Here is a 20,743-nt window from a genome sequence, read left to right as displayed (position 1 = left end):
CATGTCCTGAACCATAACACAGTATTGTCTTACCTACCTCTGCGAGTCAGAAGAATTCAATGAAATAATAATGAGAAAGCATTCTGTAAGCTGGAAAGCATTATAAAATGCAAGTTATCATCATCAAACACTACAACGTTTTCTTAACTCAGTCATTTTTTTCCTTTTTAATTTTTATTTTTTTTGCCAAGAAAGCCACTGGAAGGAAAACGAATTGTCTACTTTGGATATCTGTGACATTCATTGACAGTATTTTTAGTTGCTAGCGTCTACTTCTGGCTCTTCAGTTTATGGCTCCAGTCCTCAAACATTAGGCTATAAATGAAAAGCAATAATCATTGCAAAAGTTTTTGCAACCCTTTGGGAGAAGGGACTTTATATTAAAGGCTATGCTGTTCTTGAGGTTTATTAAATGGATACTTTAATTCCCTGCCGAACCCACTGGGTTCTATATTTACCTACCAAATGCTTGCGTGTGCCTTGCCCTGTGGATGCATCTTGGCGTCCAAGGGGCTCAGAGAGACAAAGATGGTCTCTCTCAAGCACAAAAACCCAGCACCATCCTATGGGAAAAGGACTCTGTTTCCTTAGAAACTATTCCACCTAAAACCAGGGTATGAGTGAGGATTAAAAAAAGATCATTTCAAGTAGAAGAGCTTTAGAAGCAGCTCTGATTGAGTGCCTCTCTTCTGTACCAGGGGTTGTACATAAGGCACCTCATTAGATCCCCACATTAGCCCTGATGGAGGTGGAGGATGTCATCCTTCTGACACAAACAAGATCCCAGGGATGGAGAGTCATTTGCCCAAGAACCACCAAGATCGACAGATTCTAAAGCGTAAGCTTTTTCACATCCCCACACAAATTTAGGGGGAGAGAAATCAAAGATCCCCCAATAGACATGAAATTCAACTGAATGTTGATGTGCCTTTTGAAATCATAGTGTGGTTCTAAAAACATGTGTTTGCCTGCCATCCTTTACATTATGACATTCTGATTTGCCTTTTCCCTCCTTAAATGATGGCAGCGAAGGGCACATTTAAGGGTCCCATTCAGCACAGGAGATCTCATACAGAGTCATGGAGAAACCTCACTGAGCACCAGCATACAGGCCGACGCCCAGGGCACCTTAGATTAGAGTCAAGGCCAAACAACAGTTCCAGTGGCCGCGGCCACCTTGCTGCATCCTGGAGCTCCCACCTGCAACTTAACCCGCGGGGTCTCATTTACGCCAGCGACCTCACACTCACGCTGCTACTCGAAGCTGAACAGCCCTTAAAAACCTTTAGAGAAATTTGGGAAACTCAGATGTTTTCCACCTGGACTTTGTTAGCAGCGTCTCTGCCGAGTGCCCTGGGTCAGAACATGCCCAGGAAAATCAGCTCCCAGCAGGAAATAAATTAAATAAGGGTGTCATTGGACCCACCTGACCCAGGGTCAGTTCCCATTAAAAAGAAAGTGTGCTGGCCTGGTGTGTTAATGCTTCCTTCGCTAAAATTTTAAGTTATTTTTAGTTTTAGCTCATAATATTTTTCTCCCTGGGGAAAAACTTTATTTTTTTCCCTCAGCGAGTTTGAACACTCATCTAAACTGAGTGAAGTTTTTAGAGCCTAAATAATTACACAAAAGACAAACTTCTATAAATGTTTTATTTAGAGCCAAAATAAAAACACAGAAGAAAAAGGATCTGAATCATTTATTCTAACAAGTCTTAAATAACTGTTTCTTCTTTCCCAAAAAAAAAAAAAAAAAATTCTAATTTTCTTATAGGTTTGGAACATCATGTCTAAGTTGGGATTACATTCATGAACACATCAAGAAATAACCAAGGGCTGTGATAAAAATGACAGAAAATGTCTCTCCTGCTCAAAAAATGGTTGGGAACTGAAAGGCAGCCTCAGACAGATCATATGGCCTTGCTGTGTTAAAAAGAACATGAGGAACAACCCACCTGTCCACCAACCAGCAAAAGGATAAATGAAATGTGGGGTGTCCTTACAATGGAATATTATCCAGCTGTAGTAAAGAATGAAGCTCTGCACCAAGGCCTAGAATTCATTATTTGAGGAATAATGAATTACTAGACTATAGTAAGAACAATAAGGAATATTGTTTGGAATAGTAAGGAACAAACATAACATAATGGGCCTCAATTTCATTAAACAGAATCATAGATTTTTTTTTTTTTTTTTTTTGAGATGGAGTCTTGCTCTGTCGTCCAGGCTGGAATGTAGTGGCGTGATCTCGGCTCACTGCAACCTCTGCCTCCTAGGTTCAAGCGATTCTTCTGCCCCAGCCTCCCAAGCAGCTGGAATTACAGGCACCCACCATCATGCCCAGCTAATTTTTTTTTTTTTTGAGATGGAGTCTCGCTCTGTTGCCCAGGCTAGAGTGCAGTGGTGTGATCTCGGCTCACTGCAAGCTCCGCCTCCCTGATTCACGCCATTCTCCTGCCTCAGCCTCTGAGTAGCTGGGACTACAGGCGCCCGCCACCATGCCTGGCTAATTTTTTTTAGTAGAGATGGGGTTTCACCGTGTAAGTCAGGATGGTCTCGATCTCCTGACCTCGTGATCTGCCTTGCCTCGGCCTCCCAAAGTGCTGGGATTACAGGCGTGAGCCACCACGCCCTGCCTAATTTTTATAGAGACGGGGTTTCACCATGTTGGCCAGGCTGGTCTTGAACTCCTGACCTCAGGTGATCTGCCCGCCTCAGCCTCCCAAAGTGCTGGGATTATAGGCATGAGCCATAGAATAGAATATTCTATTCTATGATTCACTGCAAAGTGAAAGCAGCCAGATATTACATGATAAAGGTCACATATGATTCCATTTATATGAAATGTCCAGAATCATGATATCTATACAAAAAACCAGAAAGTAGAGCATGGTTACCTAGGGCTGAGAGGGGTGGAAGGAAGGAGGTAATGAAAATGTTCTAAAGTGGGTCACGGTGATGGGTGCAGAACTCTATACTCAGAGCCACTGAACTGTATATGGTAAATGGGTGAATTGTATGGTATGTGAATTTTATCTTAATGAAGCTGGTTTTTAAAGAAAAGAACATATAAGAATCTTAAGTATTTTACGTGTTTAAGTGGAAGACAGTGGGAACTTTCTATAGCTAGAAGCAACTGTCATAACCCTACTCAGAATGTAAAAAGGGAGACACTGGGAAGGGCCCTTCAGTAGCTGCTGCCTCTGCTGGGGGAGCAGAGAGGACACCAAGAGTTTTCTGGGGAAAGGTTACGCAGTGACGGGGATGGAGACAATTTACTAGCTGGCCAAAAGGAGGAAGTGACAGCCATTGGAAAGAACCGAGGCAGGTCATGCTTCTCTAGAGACCAATGGGAAAGACGGATTCGATCTGGCTACCTGGAAACCTGCCAGGGTCGAAGGCTAAAGAGTGGAACTGGGAGGGAAGAGGGCAGGGTCGGGTACAGTAAGTGGGTCAGAGCAGTGCAGCCCAGTGACTCAGCACCGGGGACATCTGCTAGACGAGGGGAGCTGGTAAGGAAAGCCCCCCACAGCGGTGCCCACGGCTGGAGGATTAGGAACAACCTGGGCTCAGAGGACGTGTGTCCCTGCAGCTGCACTGACAGCCCCTTCTTCCTTATCTTCCAGGGCTGCCCCCAGAAGCAGCGCCATGTATGTTTGAAGATCTCTCTGTGGCTTCCAGAGGGAAGTTTCCTTCCAAGAGTTTGCTGAGAAGACTCAGTGTCAGGAATAATACAAGCTAGTATGTGCTGAGCACGTATTATTTGTCAGGCTATCTTCTAAGAACCTGTCAACCATCAACTCACTCAATCCTCTTAGAGAATGGAATGATTATTATCCCCATTTTGGAGATAAGCAAGCTGAGGCTCGGAAAGTATAAATTATACACTGTTGGAAGCTTGTACCTGGAGAGAACAGATGGTACCCAGGCAATCTGACTCCTGAGGTCTTGGCTACTATGAAGGGTGACACAAGATTCAGGCCAACTTAGGCAGCCCGGGACACAAGCACACTTGGGTAAGGGCTCTTATTATGGTAAGTGATGAGGATATTTAGAAAAAGTCGGGTTTCCACCCCCTTCAATCCCAGACTCACAAGTATTTGTTGCTCACAGTTGCCTGGTAACCTGAGCGATGCTGGTCTGTGTCGGGTGGAGCTGAGTGCATCTCCAGCGTGGTTTTAGAGTGTTACACACATCCGCTTCCCTCTTACATGGGTGGGACCAGTCTCTTTGTAATTTCCCATTAAATACGTATTTGCAAAAGGGCTGCCTCTTTGCCCGGCAGGCATTCCATGTGAGGTTACGGGCAGCAAGGATGGGACCAATTTTAGTGAGAGGAAAAAGCAACATCCCCTTCAAACAGAGCCCAGTGGCAGTTCCAGGCAAAAGAGGAGGACCAGATACCAAAATTAATCCCTCACCCCGTCCAAGTTGCCATTTTGAGAATGCAGTAGTAGCCTAAAGGGCAAGTCGTCCCTTTGGGACAGGATTCCGGGCAGACCTGTGCAGAAGAACCCTTCCCAACTCACCAGCCACCTCTGGGGACCAAGGCATCCCATGACAGCAGCCCATGACAGGATCTCGTGACAGGATCCCTCAATTATTTCACTTTAACTGCATAGAAAATGCCAAGAGAGCAGGTCATATTTCCATTTCCATTTCAGTGCTGTCTGTTACCCTGACAGGTTACAGGCATACCTACCTATAAGAAAAGGTATGGCTGTCCACAGTGTGTTTACATATGTACACACACACACACACACACACACACACACACAAACGCTCCACTGTGCCCTTTGAAGAGGAAGGAGTCTGTGTAAATAATCTCAAATAGTAGATAGATGAGAAATATTTCGATAAGTTTTGTAATTTAAAAAAAGCATATGCAGTGCTAGGTAATGAAAAGATGCATATGGAATTAGATTTACCTTCTTGATGATGTTATTAGGATTATATTTAAATGAGTTAATTAAATGTTTGTTGAATGAATTACCAACTATAAGGAGAACTGACCCAGGCATAAAGCCACAGGCATGAAAGACACAATTTTCCACGGCTCATTCTTAGGCTGGTTAAAGCTCCCTGTGGGTGTATCCCATACATATACCTGCTTGTTCTTCTTTGCTGGCATTTTTAAACTGAAAACTCCCAGGCAGATATTAGAGGCCATATGCAAACTCCACATGCTACATACAACCTCACACCTCCCGTGAGAGCTTAATGAGCCATAATTTCACCCATCCATTTACGTGGCAAATATTTGCTGCATGTGTCTGTCCACCCACTCTGGTCTGGCACCCCAATTTTGATCCAAGGTTATGCATCTGGAGTTCACGTGCTTAGTCTTGTTATCTGATCTTCCGTTTTCCTCCCCGCGAGGAGCCAGGCCTGTGGCGAGTTCCTCGTCATTCTGGTCTGGCCCCTGGATCCTCTGCCATTTCAGGGCACCCTGGAAACACAGCGCTCCTGCCCTCTGATTCTGCAACTCTCCTACCTCGTTCTCAAAACTGAGAATGTCAGCAGCTCAGTAAGCAAGCAGGATCGGTTGTGCTGAAGACTTTTCCTAACAAACAGGCCCTTCTTAACCCCTGCACTGGGTAAGGGGGACAGAGCAGGGGACCTTTCCAATAAATACCCACTTGACCCTATCACAAAGACTGCTGCAGGGATTAAAAGGAGAGGCTCCAGAGTCACTGCCTGAGTTCAATGCCTCAGCTTCTCATGTATAAAATGGGGACTGATCCATCTGCCTCATGGGACTGAATGAGACATCCATATACAGCTTCTATCAGAACGCCCGATGCATCCACGCATGACAAGCCCCATAACATATACTAGCTATTAGTATTATCATCATTTTTACACTCCCATTTAAGCAAAAACAGAACAAAACATAAATATCACCCTGTGTCAGCCCTAATGACAATTTAATAGACAAAATTAACCCTCACAGAAGGCTGCGCATATTCTGCTAGCTTTGTCCAAAGTTCTGGGTAACATGATCAGTTGCACAGCAGGCAGAATTACATCTGGTTTACATATCTCAACTGAGCAGGGAAACATGATGTTTTTATTTAGTTAGGTTCAGACAAGAAATAGATACAAGGCTTATATTATATTGTGCCTAACACGGCCAGCACTTGACATCCACTGTGACGAAAACCTTACACAATCCAATTAATTTGGGGGTTGTGGGGAGGTTCTAGGAGGGGGACACACGGAGCCGCAGATGTGAATAACTGCTAGATCCAAGTGCTCCGCTTAGATGCTGGCCGCAGCCTACAGGCGAGACGCCACATGTCAGGCCCCGAAAGGTGGTGCAGACACTAACCAGGCACCCAGCTCATCTCAACTGCTCCCGGCGGCTTCTCAGAGCAGAAACCATGCTGCCCAGACTGGGAGGGAGAAGAGCAGCCTTGCAGCGTCTGCTTGGGCTCAGGCCTCTGCTCAGGGTTCCTGGGAGAGGCCAACGGGAAGCTGCTGGCCCTGCGCACTTGTCAGCAAGACCCGAGGCAGGAACCTGTTCAGGTGCTGAGCAGACACACGAGACAATGCATTTATTTGGGGCACACTCATTTTATCGTGGTAGATACCCTACGTGAAAGGAACCAGTACAGAGAAAGGACAAGGAAAGAAGCCAGCATTTATGAGGGCCAGCTGCATGCTGAGCACACACAGCTGCCTTGCAGGATGGGCACTGTTATCCCATTGCAGAGATGGAGAAGCCAAGGTCCCCCTGGACAGTGAGGTTATATCCAACTGTCCACCACCTGGGGGTAGGTTAAATATTGGGAGAGCCATACAATGGAATACCACGTAGCTACTTCAGGGGACACGACATTGCTAACACTTCCCCATACCTTTAAATATACATTAGGTGGGGAAAAAAAACAGTATGAATAATTCCATTATTTTAAAAATGTTCTATTGCATATATATTTATATGTTTTCTACTGTATATATGCATATATGTGTAAATAAAAGGAGGTAGAAAAATTAATCTTAAAAGAGGTATACTAAAATTTAACAGTGATTTTTCATATTTCTTTTTGCTTATGTGTATTTTCACATTAAAGAATGTATATTTGATATGTATTACTTGTCAAATTAAGACTTTTTAAGGGAAAGAAATAGGAACTAAAAAGCTGACTAGCCCAAGGTCACACAGCTTGTAACTGGTGGAGCCGAAGTTTGAACCCAATTGTATCTAGTGCCAAGACCTAAGCCATTTCTGTTCCACTACCACACCCTCTTCCAGAAAGCAGCTGCATTTGGAAGCAGAGGCTGCTACTAAAGTAAATCCGACAGGGCCAAGGGGTCTCTGCATTCCAGAGTAATAGTGGGGTTAACTGCAGAGTGCCTGGGAAAACCAGCTCTGTGCTGAGAAAGCATGGGCCTTGCTTGAGAACAGTTATTTCTAGCTCTTCGGGCGGAAGAGACCAATCTTCCGTAAGGTCCATTCATTACCTAGAAATAGAACTGCCTCTGCCAATCCACAGGGTAGAGAAGGTGCCTGCTTTGGAGGGACACCCTAACATGAGGCACGGGGGACCCAGCACTCCCAGTGCAGCAGACTGGACATGAGCAGCCAAACTATAAGTGGCATGCCATCCAAGGGACGAGGGTGACAGGAAAACAACAGGAAGCTCGTGTCCACCATATACAGCCCGGTGATGGCACCCACTGCCAAGCTCCCCCGGCTGTCTCCAGGCCCGTGCCCAGCAGCAGCTCACACAAGGGCACAGGCCAGGAGCCTTGACGGGCCAGAAGTCATGTGGACCCAGTGCTGGGGTGAACAGATCTGGGTTTGAATTCCAGCCTCTCTGCTTACTATGACCTTGGGAAAGTTACTGAACATCTACACGGGGCTCAGTTTGCTCACCCCTAAAATGGGAATAAAAATACCCCATAGGCTAATTTTTTCTAAAGACTCAACGCAGTCAGTGCCTCACTCACACAGGTCCTTACAACATGACCCTCACCCAGTGAATCTTGCTTAGCATGCAATAATCTAATCGTACACACTGCTCATTATATCACACTTTTCATTTTATTCTGCCTTCCAGGAAAATTTCTTGGGTGGGCACCTTACTTTACAGTTTACAGAAGGCTCACACAAAATCTCATGTTAGCCTCACAACGCTTTGATACCCACTTCACAGATGTGAGACCCGAGGCTCCCAGCTGAGTTCACAACACCCACAAGTAGCAGAGGAGTATCTCCAGGCCGCGGCTTCCTGGCCAACACATTTTCTTCAACTCCTGCTTTTGGGTTCCCTTCCAGACCACAGTCTGACTCACTCCTTCCTGACATGAAACCCGAAGTGTCCTTTCTCCAAAGTTAGAACAAGTAGTTACTGTATCTCTCCGACAAGCAAACATTCTTTCAGCAAACATTGTTTTTGTTTTTTAGAGATGGGGTCTTGCTGGCATTGCCCAGGCTGGAATGCAGTGGCTATTCACAGGCACGACTGTTACACACGGCAGCCTGGAGCTCCTGGGCTCAAGCGGTCCTCTTGCCTCAGCCTCCCAAGTAGCTGGGACTATAGGTTCAAGCCACCACACCTGGCTTTCAGTGAACACTGAATACACACTCTCCTATGGGTGGCCCCATGCCAGGCTCTGAGGAATGGAGAAGGAGTGAAGCCAGCTTCTGTCCTTGAAGTGCCCCTCAGTGGCTTGGATGCAGTGTGACATCCCCTGCCTCTGCTCTGTCTCTGCCATTGAAGCAGAGGGGACAGTGAGCAGTCAGCTGGCCATAAGAGACTCTGCTACAAATGTCTGGGGGGCAGGCTCACCTCACACCCACCCCCACTAAAGAGCATCTTATGATCCTGGACTCACGGGCTCAAACGATCCTCTCACCTCGGCCTCCCAAAGTAGTGGGATGACAAGCGTGAGCCGCCACACCCAGCTATTTAAGAGCATCTTATGAAAGGGCTCCTCTGACCCATAAACCTGAGCTGCTTCTCACCAAGGCAATCTTCCCCCACCCACCGCTGCAGTGAGTTTAATGTCCCTGCCAAATTCATGTCCACCAAGGACCTTAGAATGTGATCTGATTTGGAAGCAGGGTTCTTACAGATGTAATTGGTTAAAGATGTCGAGACAGAATCATCCTGGATTTGAGGTAGGCACTGAAATCAATGGCTTCTGTCCTCATGAAGACACAGAAAGACACACACAGGGAAGGTGGTCATGGGACGTGGAGGCAGAGACTGGAGTGAGGCAGCTGCAAGTCAAGGAACACCAAGGGTGGCTGGAGCCCACAAGAAGCCAGAAGAGGAAGGGGGGATTTTTCCCTAGGGCCTTCAGAGGGAGCGGGGCCCTGCAGATACCTGGATTACACACTTCTGTCTTCCAAAACCTTCAGAGAATACATTTCTATTGTTTTGAGCCACCAAGTTTGGGGTCATTTGTTACAGCAGCCCTGGGAAACTAATACACCCCTTTCTTAAAATTGTCTCTGTTCAGCGAGGCAGAGGAGGCACAGCCTGGGGCCGCCACTGGGGTGCAACTAGCCCTTCCCACTGCGATGGTACAGGCACCGGGTAAGGTGGAGCCTAGGCTGTCCCTTGTGCAAAGCCGAACTTTGGAGTGTGCACACACACACACGTACACACCCACTCACACCCATTCCAGACTTCTAAGAATGACGTGCTGCCAACAAAGGCTGGAACTCTGTCTCTGAACAGGCCAACTCTGTCGGCTCCCGGGAGAGGTTTTCTTGTGGTTTGGGTTGAGGTTTCTTTGCTTTCTGGCACCGGTAAACTGCAGCGTGAACTATCTCACCAAATTTGGCCAGCCTGAAGTTGAGGCGCTCTTCATCCCTGCTGCCTGAGTACACGTGGCACCCTGAGGGTGCTAGTGAGAAGTGCTGGCTTGCTGGCCTGGCAGGACACCCCAACCCGGGAGGATTCGACTGGACGTTCGCAGCATTTTTCTCCCTGCCTTCTTGGCTGGGCGCTGCTGCTGGCTGGACCTGGAGTCCTGTCTCCCTCCTGGCTCTCCTTAAACACTCAAGGGTACTTTTATTCAAAGGCCTTTTAAGTGTTAATAACATAGAACATAAAGCTGCTCAGGCGGGGTGGTGGCTTACACCTGTAATCCCAGCAGTTTGGGAGGCCAAGGCAGGTGGTTCAACTGAGGTCAGAAGTTCGAGACCAGCCTGGCCAACATGGTGAAACCCCATCTCTACTAAAAATACAAAAATTAGCCGGGTATGGTGGCACACCTATAGTCCCAGCTACTCAGGAGGCTAAGGCAGGAGAATCGCTCGAACCCAGGAGGTAGAGGTTGCAGTGAACTAAAATCTCACCACTGCATCAGCCTGGGTGACAGAGCAAGACTCCATCTAAAAATAATTAATAATAAATAAATAAAAATAAATAAAACTGCTCCCCAGTGCAAGTCTTTCCCTTTCCCCTGCTGGGTGGGGGAGCTGCTAACACTGACCTTGACCTTCCTGTGTTGAGCGGCCACCTCCAGCGCTGGCAGATGGCATGGCCGGGCAGTGTGTGTCATTAGCCACAGGTGGTCTGGGAGTGTCTTCTCATCCTGGCTTTGTCACCAGTTGACTTGGAAACTCCCCTCCCCTCGAAGATCCTCACTTGCTAAAGGAGGGGTAGGTAGGGCAAGACGCTTTCTTGGATCCTCTCTTGAGTGACTTTCCAAGGTGACAGACTCCCTTCTGTGCCATGGAGAAGGATGCTTGTTTCCTACTCATTCCTACTACACTTGATTGGTGCTGCCACGCCCTCGGCTCTGCAGGATGCAGGAAATGGTAAGAAAACCCAGCATGCGGCCCCGTAAGGGAGACGCAATGACAGCAGGAGAAACCAAGTCCCTCTGGGAGGGGCCATGGAACAGACACGGCCATCACCAAGTGAGGCGCCAGCTGGAGGAGGCAGAGAGAGGAGTCTGAAGGGTGGCCAGGAGTGAGCCAGGCAAGAAGGGCAGGGGGAAGGAGGGGGCCTGAGAAGATGCTGGGGTGGGGGGCGGCTGTGGGGGTGCAGGGAAGGCAGTTGGGTTGGGGTGAGATGGTGAAGGGAGTTTGGACTCCTTCCTGGAGGCCGCCGAGAGCTGGGAGGCGCACACGCAGAGGAGTGCCACGCTCCAGTACTTTCCATAGGAAGCGTCTTCTGGAAGCGTGGGGTATTCCGGGGCCACTCAAACTCACATTTTCAGCTGACTCAGATAATCTTGCCAGCAGTTTTTCCACTGTCATTTCAATTAAAAAATACCGGGGGCCTGTCTCTCCTCCCTGGCTGCCCTTGGGGTAATCATCAGCAGTACTGGGCATACAGGACTCAAGTCTGGGCCCAGGGCTCTGGAGCTGTGTCGCCCTCCAGCTTTGGAAGCCCAGGCATGGGCCTTGGGGGTCAACACTCTTAGTCTGAAAGCTCTGCCACCGCCCTGCTGCTGCATCTTGAGTCCGTGACTTACACCTCTTGGAGACTCAGCATCCCCACCTCTACAATGGGCTCAATATCGACCACCAGCACTGGTGCATCACAAATTGGAAAATAAGCTAATAGATGTAAAAATACCTAGCACAGTGCCTGGCTTAAAACAAAATGCTGCACACACGTAAGCATCTCTTTTTTATGTTACAAATTTGGGGTAGGAACTGAGAAGAGCCGTGGAGGAGCACAGGCAGGGGTGGGGGAGAGGCCGTGCAGAGGAGCAGCTGAGGCGTGGGTGGACGGCGGGTGGTGGGTGCTATGCTGTGAATGTTGGAGTTTTTGTGAGTTTGTCTACACAACCACTAAATTTTCCTGCAGCTCAAATCCCAGAAGCAGGAACGCTCATGCTGGCAAACGCAGACTCGGTGTGGGCTTGGGCAACAGCCTGACGTAAGTGGATCTGGCAAGGCCGCAAGAGCTTTGGCAGCCGAGCCCCTGGCGCAGAAGCATCCTCATCAACACAGTGTTGACGGCGCTCCCGGGCCTCTGGCTCATCCCTGTTTCTTAGCAACTGCCCTATTTTGGGGGAACACTGAGTGCCACAGGGAAGCTGGCCTGGAAGCACGTGCAAGACAGGCAGCACCTTCAGTCAACACGCAGCCCCCTGCTCCCAGCAGCCTGGTCCCCTGATACCAGCTGCCATCTCCCGGCACAATGTGACCAGATTGGAAGACCTCCATGAGGCGGTTCAGCCACTCCACAGGTCTCTAAGCAGCTTCCAGGACCCAAGCTTGTGAGAGAGGCCCTGGTCATCCCCTGCGCCCCCAGGCAATAGCCCATTGCCATCTGTTATGCTTCCAACCATCTGAATAGCTGCTATGGTAGGAAAGAAAGACACTTAACAAAACACACCAGGCCCTCAACACTCACACCCAGGGCCGGGCACAGAGGGCCCCCTCGATCGATAAAACACCCCAAAGGGAGTCCAGGTCTTCCCTAACATTCCATGACCAACAGAGGTGTTCTAGAAAGTTCTGGGATATGAATGCCTGCTGGATGTTTGTTCCTTCTCCACTTTGACAACATCATTTTATCTTTGCAAAATTTATTTTGGAGGAATTAAAGAATTCCACCAGGGCCAGGTTTCTTGGGAGAGGCAGTTGATCTCAGATATGTATTATTAATACTAACATTTTCTTGTCGTGATTGCACGCCCAATTTAAAATGAATTATCCAATTAAGTTAAGAAGGTGATGCGTTCTAATTCCAGGAATAGGTTGCCAATGACTTTGTCTTGACTGTTCTCCCCGAAATCCCTTCCAATTAAGTAAAGATTGTTCAGTACATCGTGAGGCTAAGCCAAGAGGTTGCTGTGGAGACGGGAGGATTTTTCATCCTATCACCATTTTCCTCTCTTGATGAGAAGGGAGCCAGCAGAGCTTTCAGCCTCCCCCGGGGTTGAATGTTCAGTGCCAGCAAGGACAAAAGGTCTGCTGGACAGAAGAGGATGAGGGGTTGTGAAAGCTTCCAGGTCTCCTTCTGCAACAACAGAGAGAACCCGTGTCTTCAGCTTCTCGTGAGCAAAAGACAGTTGCCCACATTATGGGGATACCAGAGCCCATCCTTTTTCCCTCTCCACCTCATGCTGAAGGTGTGATAGGGCCAACTCGGCCAGCAGAGAGAAATAGATTCATGGTACCTGGCCAGAAAGATCAAGGCTGTATGGTTGGGTGTAAAATGATCCATGCCAAGAACAGTAAGAGGAGACACAGATTTTTATTTCTAAAATGGAAATCTGCTCATAGCACTCTCTTGCTTTTTTAAGAGACAGAGTTTTGCTCTTTCACTCTGTTGCCGAGGCTGGAGTGCAGTCATATAGTAAGAGCTCACTGCAGCCTCTACTTCCTGGGCTCAAGTGATCCTCCTGCCTCAGCCTCCCCAGTAAGTAGGACTACAGGTGCGCACAACCATGCCCAGCTAATTTTTTGTCATTTTTGCTCATCTGTTATTATTAGTTTTTTGGTTCTTGGGGGCTTTTTTTTGTTTGTTTTTGTAGAAACAAGGCCTCACTATATTGCCCAGGCTGGTCTCAAAACTCCTGGGCTCAAGCAATCTTCTCATCTTGGCCTCCCAAAGTACTGGGATTACAGGTGTGAGCATTCCCCGCCCCCTCCCCCATCTCCTGTTTTTAACTTTTTTTTTAATGTATTTTTATTTATTTTTTTTTTTGAGATGGAGCCTTGCTCAGTTGCCCAGGCTGCAGTGCAGTGATGTGATCTCGGCCCACTGCAATCTCCACCTCCCAGGTTCAAGCAATTCTCCTGCCTCAGCCTCCCGAGTAGCTGGGATTTATAGGCGCACACCACCATGCCCAGCTAATTTTTGTATTTTTAGTAGAGACGGGGTTTTCACCATGTTGGCCGGAATGGTCTCGATCTCCTGACCTCAGGATCCACCCGCCTCGGCCTCCCAAAGTGCTGGGATTGCAGGCGTGAGCCACCGCACCCAGCCAGCTTTTAACTTTTCATTGGCTCTCACCACAGAGTTCCAACCCTTTAGCATGATATACTCCACACTCCATTCCCCACTCACTTTTCCAACCACATCTTGCCCTCACTCCCAAGATACTCTGTGCTTGAAAGGTCAAACTCATCCACACGTCCCTGCCTTTACTCACACTGTTCCCTTCTTGGTATATCCCTTCTAACTTTTTTCAGCCGGGTAAACTCATTCTCATTCCTTAAGATCCAGATCAAGTGTCTTGACCTCCGGAGGCCTTCCCTCTGCCTCTACATCCCTCCCTGCTCTCCCAGAAGACCCCAGCATTGGCCATGCCAGCACTTTACACGGGGTTCTCTACTAAAATTGGTTTCATGTCTGTCTCCCCAACCAGCTGCTGAGCCCCTCAGGAGGAAGGAGGTATGTTTCCAAAGGGATGGCTGGATGGCTGAGGAAAAGGCAGAGGTGAAAGAAGAGGCCGTGTCAACTGGAGGTGGATGTATAATTAAAAACCCTAGGCCAGGTGCTGTGGCTCATGCCTGCAATCCCAGCGCTTTGGGAGGCCGAGGCGAGCAGATCACCTGAGGTCAGGAGTTCGAGACTAGTCTGGTGAAATCCCATCTCTACTAAAAATACAAAACCTAGCTGGGAATGGTGGGACGCACCTGTAATCCCAGCTACTCGGGAGGCTGAGGCAGGAGAATCACTTGAACCTGGGAGGCAGAGGTTGCAGTGAGCTGAGATCGCGCCACTGCACTCCAGTCTGGCCAACAGGAGTGAAACTGTGTCTCCAAAAAAAAGCCTTATTCAAGAAGTGGTGAATGCTGTGAATCCCAGCAGGAATTCCTGCCCCTCAGGCTTGACCCATAAGGTGCCTGGCAGTTGTCAGGGCCAGTGACAGAAATGCTCTGGGCATGGGCCCCGCTCTTCTCTACTCTAAGATGAAGGGTCCATCTGTCTGATGTTAAGGAGTGAAAGACTTGTTAGCTTGTTAATAAATAAAATCTCTGAAAAAGATCCTTACTGTTACATCAGGTTATAAAACTACCTTCTGGAAGACTCAGTTTAAACCTAAGGAAAAAAAAACTTATCCAAAAATTCACACCATCAGAACTACAGTAACAAACCTATCTCCTAGGGCTTAAAACAAGACCAAGGGAAAAAGCTGTTTGACAGAGAGGAAGTGTAAAATGCCCAGGCCTCAGTTAAATGTCCTGTTTAGGCCTCTACGGACTCTGGTTTCTGCCCCTCACGGGCTCAGCCACAGGCACCTCCCATGACCTGTGTGTTTCTCAAATCAACAGGGGCCTTTCATCCATACCCGGGTTGCAAAACATGCCGCTCCCTGGATGGGGCATCACTCCTTTCTTGGAATTATAATTGGGTTTGCCCCGCAGCCTCTACAAAAGCTTAACTGGGGAAAGCAGTTCCCTGGTGGAGCTCGGATGCGGAACCCTGGCCCTCCAGACTTTCCCCACACCTGCGTCACGTGCACTCCGCACAACTGTAGATGCAGGAAGGAGCCTCTGAGCACAGTGATCAGAGCCTCCGATCCCAGCACTGCCAATCCGGGATTGGCGCCCCCAGGGTCGCCTTTTCTTCCCATTTAAGTCATCTATTAAAATCATGTGCACTTCGAGACCAGGGAGCTGCTCAATTCCCAGCAACTCTGAATCCCTCCAAGGCAGGACTCCTCTTGGGTGGACCTGTCTCCACCCTGGGGACTTGGCTCAGCGATGTGTCTTTGATTCTAGTGTCACACCTGTCACGGAGTCTAGTGTTTATACCTGCTGCAGAATCTAGGTGCTGTGCCTGTCATGGGGAGCAGTTTCCTTTTAGGATTTGCTGAATCGAACCATCACTTATAGAGGGAAACCAACACTCTCCTTTTAAGTATAATTTTAAAAATCTAAACAAAAAGCCCAGCAGTGTCTGAAATACAGTCATGCATCACTTAACGATGAGGCTACGTTCTGAGAAATGTGTCGCTGGGGAATTTCGTTGTTGTGCGAGCATCATAGCATGTACTTGCACAAACCTGGAGGGTCTAGCCTATCACACACCAAGGCTATGCTATATGCTCTCAGGCTACAAACCTGTACAGCACGTTACTGTACTGAATACTGTATGTAGGCAACTGCAATATAATAGTAAGTATGTATGTATCTCAACGTATCTAAACGTACAAAAGGTACAGTAAAAATATGGAATTATAGTCTTATGGGACCGCTGTTATATACGTGGCCCACTGTGGACCAGAACATTATGTGGTACATGACTGTATATGGAGGTGTTACAGAGTGAATTTTGTCCTTCCCCAAACTATGCTGATGTCCTAATCCCCAATACCTGTGACTAGGACCTTATTTAGAAAGGGGTCTTTACAGACGTAACCAAGTTAAGATGAGGTCATAATGCATTAAGGTGGGCCCTAATCCAATGACCGGTATCCTCATAAGAAGAGGAAAATCGGCCAGGCACGGTGGCTCACACCTGTAATCCCAGCACTTTGGGAGGATGAGGCAGGCAGATCACAAGGTCAGGAGTTCAAAACCAGCCTGGCCAACATATTGAAACCCCATCTCTACTAAAAACACAAAAATTCGCCAGGTGTGGTGGCACATGCCTGTAGTCCCAGCTACTCAGGAGGCTGAGGCAGGAGACTCCCTTGAATCTGGGAGGCAGAGTTTGCAGTGAGCTGAGACCATGCCATTGCACTCCAGCCTGGGCGACAGAGCAAGACTCTGTCTCAAAAAAAAAAAAAAAAAAAAAAAAAAGGAAAATCTGGACACACAGAATGGGGAGAACGTCATGTGATGATGGGGGCAGCGATCCGAGTGAGGCTGCTGCAAGCCAAGGCACGCCAGGGACTGCTGGCAAGCCCGGGGCTGGGGAGAGGCCAAGAAAGAGTCCACCTGAGTCAGAGGGAGCACAGCTCTGCTGACACCCTGGCTCTGGACATCTGGCCTCCAGAACTGTGAGACAACACATTTCTGTTGTTTTAAGCCACCTACAGTTTGTGGTCATCTGACCTGGCAGCCCTAGGAAACTACGGGACAATAAACAAAAAGCAGTGACTACTTTTATTTTTTAGTTTATCACTCATTAATATCAACTTTCATGACATAAATGGTGTGCACTTGAGTAGTGGACACATCAGTGTTTTATCCATTTGTTCACTCGTCTAGCATTTACTAAGCAACTAATACATGCCAGACCCTGTCCGAGGTACCAGAGCGACAAAAGTGGTGCATCCAGAAGGCCACGATGAAGTCAGCTATATACAGACAGCTACGACATAATACAGTCAGTTTTATAAATACACATAACTGGAATGAGGAGCCTTCACTGAGTAGGTGCCTGACACTGTGCTAAGCACCTTATCCGCGTCATCTTATCTTCTCTTTCCATCCTCACACAGTCCGACAAGGAAGGGTGCTGTTCCCATCACCACTTTCCAATGGGTGAACTGAGACGCTGAGGTTGAGGGACAGCTGGACTCTTAACCTCGAGGGCTCTGGATACAAAGCTCCCACCAGTCACTAAGACAGTCCAGAAGGTGGAGACTGGCTCCAACTGCAGGTGCTCAGAGAAGTGCCAGAGCTTTGATTCAGAGCGGTGAGGGAGAGTCATTTAAATAAGAAAGCATCTTCACAGCTGAATTTTCAGAACAGATTAAATATATGAAAATAAGCAACTGAGGAAAGAAACTGTTGTCATCTGTCTTCAGTCATTAAAAAGCACGACAAAGTGCTCCTGATAGGTCCTAAGTGAAAAGGGCCATAATACTCAGATCCGGCGTTTCCCTATCTCCATGTGCCTGAGCAGCAACGTAGCAACAAAGGTTTTGATCTTCTTTTTTTTTTTTTTTTTTTTTTTTTTTTGACACAGAGTCTCACTCTGTCGCCAGGCTGGAGTGCAGTGGCGCAATCTCGGCTCACTGCAACCTCTGCCTCCCGGGTTCAAGCGATTCTCCTGCCTCAGCCTCTGGAGTAACTGGGACCACAGGTGTGCACCACCACGCCCAGCTAATTTTTGTATTTTTAGTAGAGACGGGGTTTCACCATGTTGGCCAGGCTGGTCTTGATCTCTTGACCTCATGATCCACCCACCTTGGCCTCCCAAAGTGCTGGGATTACAGGCGTGAGCCACCATGCTCGGCCTCTTCTTCTTTTTTTTAATAAATTGTGCTAAATTTTTTAAAAAGAGACAGGGGTCTCACTACGTTGCCCAGGCTGGACTTGAACTCCTGTGCTCAAGTGATCCTCCCAGTTTCTAATTTTCTTCTTTGCACTGTCTGCAATGTTCAAATTAGTGATAGAGAAACTGTCATCTGTATTATTATTCTGACTCATGCTTCATTGTGCCTACCCTGTTTGGGGCCCTGTTCTCAGCCCTGCACACGTGTGAACACAATGAATCCCACCACAGCCCCACAGTGTAGACTCTACTATTATACCCACTTTACAGAAAAGGAAGCTGAGACTCAGAGAGATTAGGCAACACGGCCACAGTCATGGAGCTGGATTCAAACCCAGACGATCTAGGCTGGAGCTCACTCTGTAACTACCTCGTTATTATAATCTGAGAGGGGAGGAAAAGAACACTCTGAGGAGGAGCAATGATCAAAGTGCCTCAGCCCCAACCTGACCGCATGGGCACAGAGATGACCCTCCTCCGGGGCCTTTCTGACCGCATGGGCACAGGGACGACCCTCCTCCGGGGCCTTCCTGACAGCATGGGCACAGGGACGACCCTCCTCCGGGGGGCCTTCTGCAAGTTTGCACACATTTTCCACTTTTTTCTCTGCTAAAAATATAACATATAACATATAAAAATAATGATATTCTCATGCTTGTCTACTCAAGTGGGAAAAATTCCCTATTAGGACAAACCCAGGGATGTGCAGTTGAAGCCAAGAGGGAAGAAATGACAGCTAGCAAAGGACAGAAGAGATGATGGGAAAAAGGACGCAGCTGCCGAGTTCAGCAGCTACCTGATTTCTGCACTGAAAGGCTCTGGATGAATGTTAGTGAGGAAGAGGAGGAGGACACCGAGAAGGAAGAGAACACTAAAAGGCAAACGGTCAGGCCGAGCTGTACGTGACACTGAGAAACGCACGCGGTTCAGGGCAGCTTGAAGTTCAGGGTGGCACACACGGCAGTGGCCCAGGTGGCTTTGCATCCACAAAGACTCTGCTCCAATCTGTCTCTCAAGCAAGAGGCCGAGCCACTTCAGACTGCCATTTCTGTGAGTCGAAAACGGTCACAGACGGGCAATGCACACAGTCAACTTACACCTATCATCACAGAGTGACACTGGCAAAACGGAAGGAAGAAAGAGGTCATCGGAAAATGTCAAATAGAGTGTAGTTTTCGTCATCTCTTTTTGACATGCCTCCTCTTCTTCCTCCTTCTCCATCCCCTCTTTTTTTCCTCTCCCCTCCATTTCCCTCAACCATCTCTTTTCTTCTTATCTTCCTCCCCCTCTCCTTCTTTTCTTTTTAAACTGTATTAAGAGTCTAACTTTCCGTCTTGCTCATCACTTGAGAGCATTTTATAAGCAAGAATTAACCAGCCATGCGTGCACATGTACATGTATGCGTGTGCACATGTCTGTGCATATGGCAGTGGCCACGTGTGCATGTGGATATGTATGTGCAAGTGGGTGTGTGTGCCTGTGTGCATGTGGGCATATGTGTGTGTGCATGTGGACATCTGTGTGTGCATGTGGGCATGGGTGTGCACATGTGGACATCTGTGTGGACATGTGGACATCTGTGTGGGCATGGGTGTGCACATGTGGACATCTCTGTGTGCATGTGGACAGGTGTGTATGTGTATACTTGTGTGTGTGTGTGCATGTGGACAGGTATATCTGTAGAAGGAAAGACATGGAGCAATTTCTTCTGGTGGCCAAAGTCTACATGATACAACAGGATAGGAGGCTGCTCCTGCCCTTACTGCCAGCTCCAGCTTGATGCCTGGGGCTGCTCAAAGGTCATGTGGCCAGCCCCCATGCTCTGCCTGGCAAGAGAGAAAGGGGCAGTGCAGGCAGGCAGGCCACACCAGCCACCTGGACTCCTGACCTTGGGCTCTACCTGATACACATCGTTTGCTGGGATTTTTCAGTACTGAATTTGTTTCTTTCCTTTTTTTTTTCTTTTTAAGAGACAGGATCTCCCTCTATTGCCCAAGCTGGAGTGCAGTGGTGCAATCAGAGCTCACTGCAGTCTCAAACTCCCAGGCTCAAATGATCCTCCCACCTCAGCCTCCCAAGTAGCTGAGACTACAGGCATGCACTTCCACACTCGGCTAATTTTTAATTCTTTGTTGTGACAGGGTCTCACCATGTTGCCCAGGCTGGTCTCAGACTCCTGGACTCAAGTGATCCTCCTGCCTCAGCCTCCCAAAGTGCTGGGATTAGGTGTGAGGCACTATGCCCAGCCTGAGGCTCTTGGTAATAAACAAAACTTCTTAGGTTGTAATACCCTTTGGACAGCCTGACTGCCTACCTGGAACTCAAGACACTCAAAGGCAAAGGAAATGAATGGCCCAGAAGGCAGGGTGTGTGTGTGCCTTTTGGCTGGGAACCTGGGTGGACCAGCTGGGTTCAAATCCGGGCTCTGCTGCTCACTGGCTGTGTGCACCTGGGCAGGTTTCTCATCCAAGCCTCCACGTTCTCATGTGTATAAGGAGGATGATGACAGCAGCACCTGTCTATGGGGTTGTTGTAAAGTTTAAAGGAGACAAGGGGAAGAAGTGCTCAGCACAGCACCTTAGACGTCTGACAGAAAGTGCCAGAACATACTTGTTGACTGAAGGCTATGAAACTGCTCTCTCT

At 48.1% G+C, this 20,743-nt stretch overlaps 1 protein-coding gene and 1 long non-coding RNA gene across 12 annotated transcripts in view, besides 2 other annotated features; one reads left to right on the top strand and one right to left on the bottom strand.

Annotated features, from left to right (window-relative positions):
- ELK3 (ETS transcription factor ELK3) overlaps nt 1-20,743 on the bottom strand; it is a 75,450-nt gene that overhangs the window by 23,624 nt on the left and 31,083 nt on the right. The gene's annotated exons all lie outside the window — the stretch shown is intronic.
- Nucleotides 7,669-8,169: an enhancer, noted in NCBI's record as "H3K4me1 hESC enhancer chr12:96631810-96632310 (GRCh37/hg19 assembly coordinates)". NCBI's record gives its function as "activates a minimal SCP1, AML or CMV promoter by ChIP-STARR-seq in primed H9 embryonic stem cells {active_cell/tissue: H9 hESC(primed)}" and the evidence as "EXISTENCE:reporter gene assay evidence [ECO:0000049][PMID:30033119]".
- Nucleotides 10,211-11,195: an enhancer, noted in NCBI's record as "H3K4me1 hESC enhancer chr12:96628784-96629768 (GRCh37/hg19 assembly coordinates)". NCBI's record gives its function as "activates a minimal SCP1, AML or CMV promoter by ChIP-STARR-seq in primed H9 embryonic stem cells {active_cell/tissue: H9 hESC(primed)}" and the evidence as "EXISTENCE:reporter gene assay evidence [ECO:0000049][PMID:30033119]".
- Nucleotides 10,605-14,917, top strand: LOC124902991 (uncharacterized). Its single transcript, XR_007063414.1, has 2 exons — nt 10,605-10,779; nt 11,780-14,917. It is a non-coding gene; the product is annotated as an uncharacterized LOC124902991 (long non-coding RNA).

This window comes from Homo sapiens, chromosome 12 (genome assembly GCF_000001405.40).
Source record: "Homo sapiens chromosome 12, GRCh38.p14 Primary Assembly".
NCBI classification, from domain to species: Eukaryota; Metazoa; Chordata; class Mammalia; order Primates; family Hominidae; genus Homo; species Homo sapiens.
This window is presented reverse-complemented; position numbering and strand designations above follow the sequence as displayed.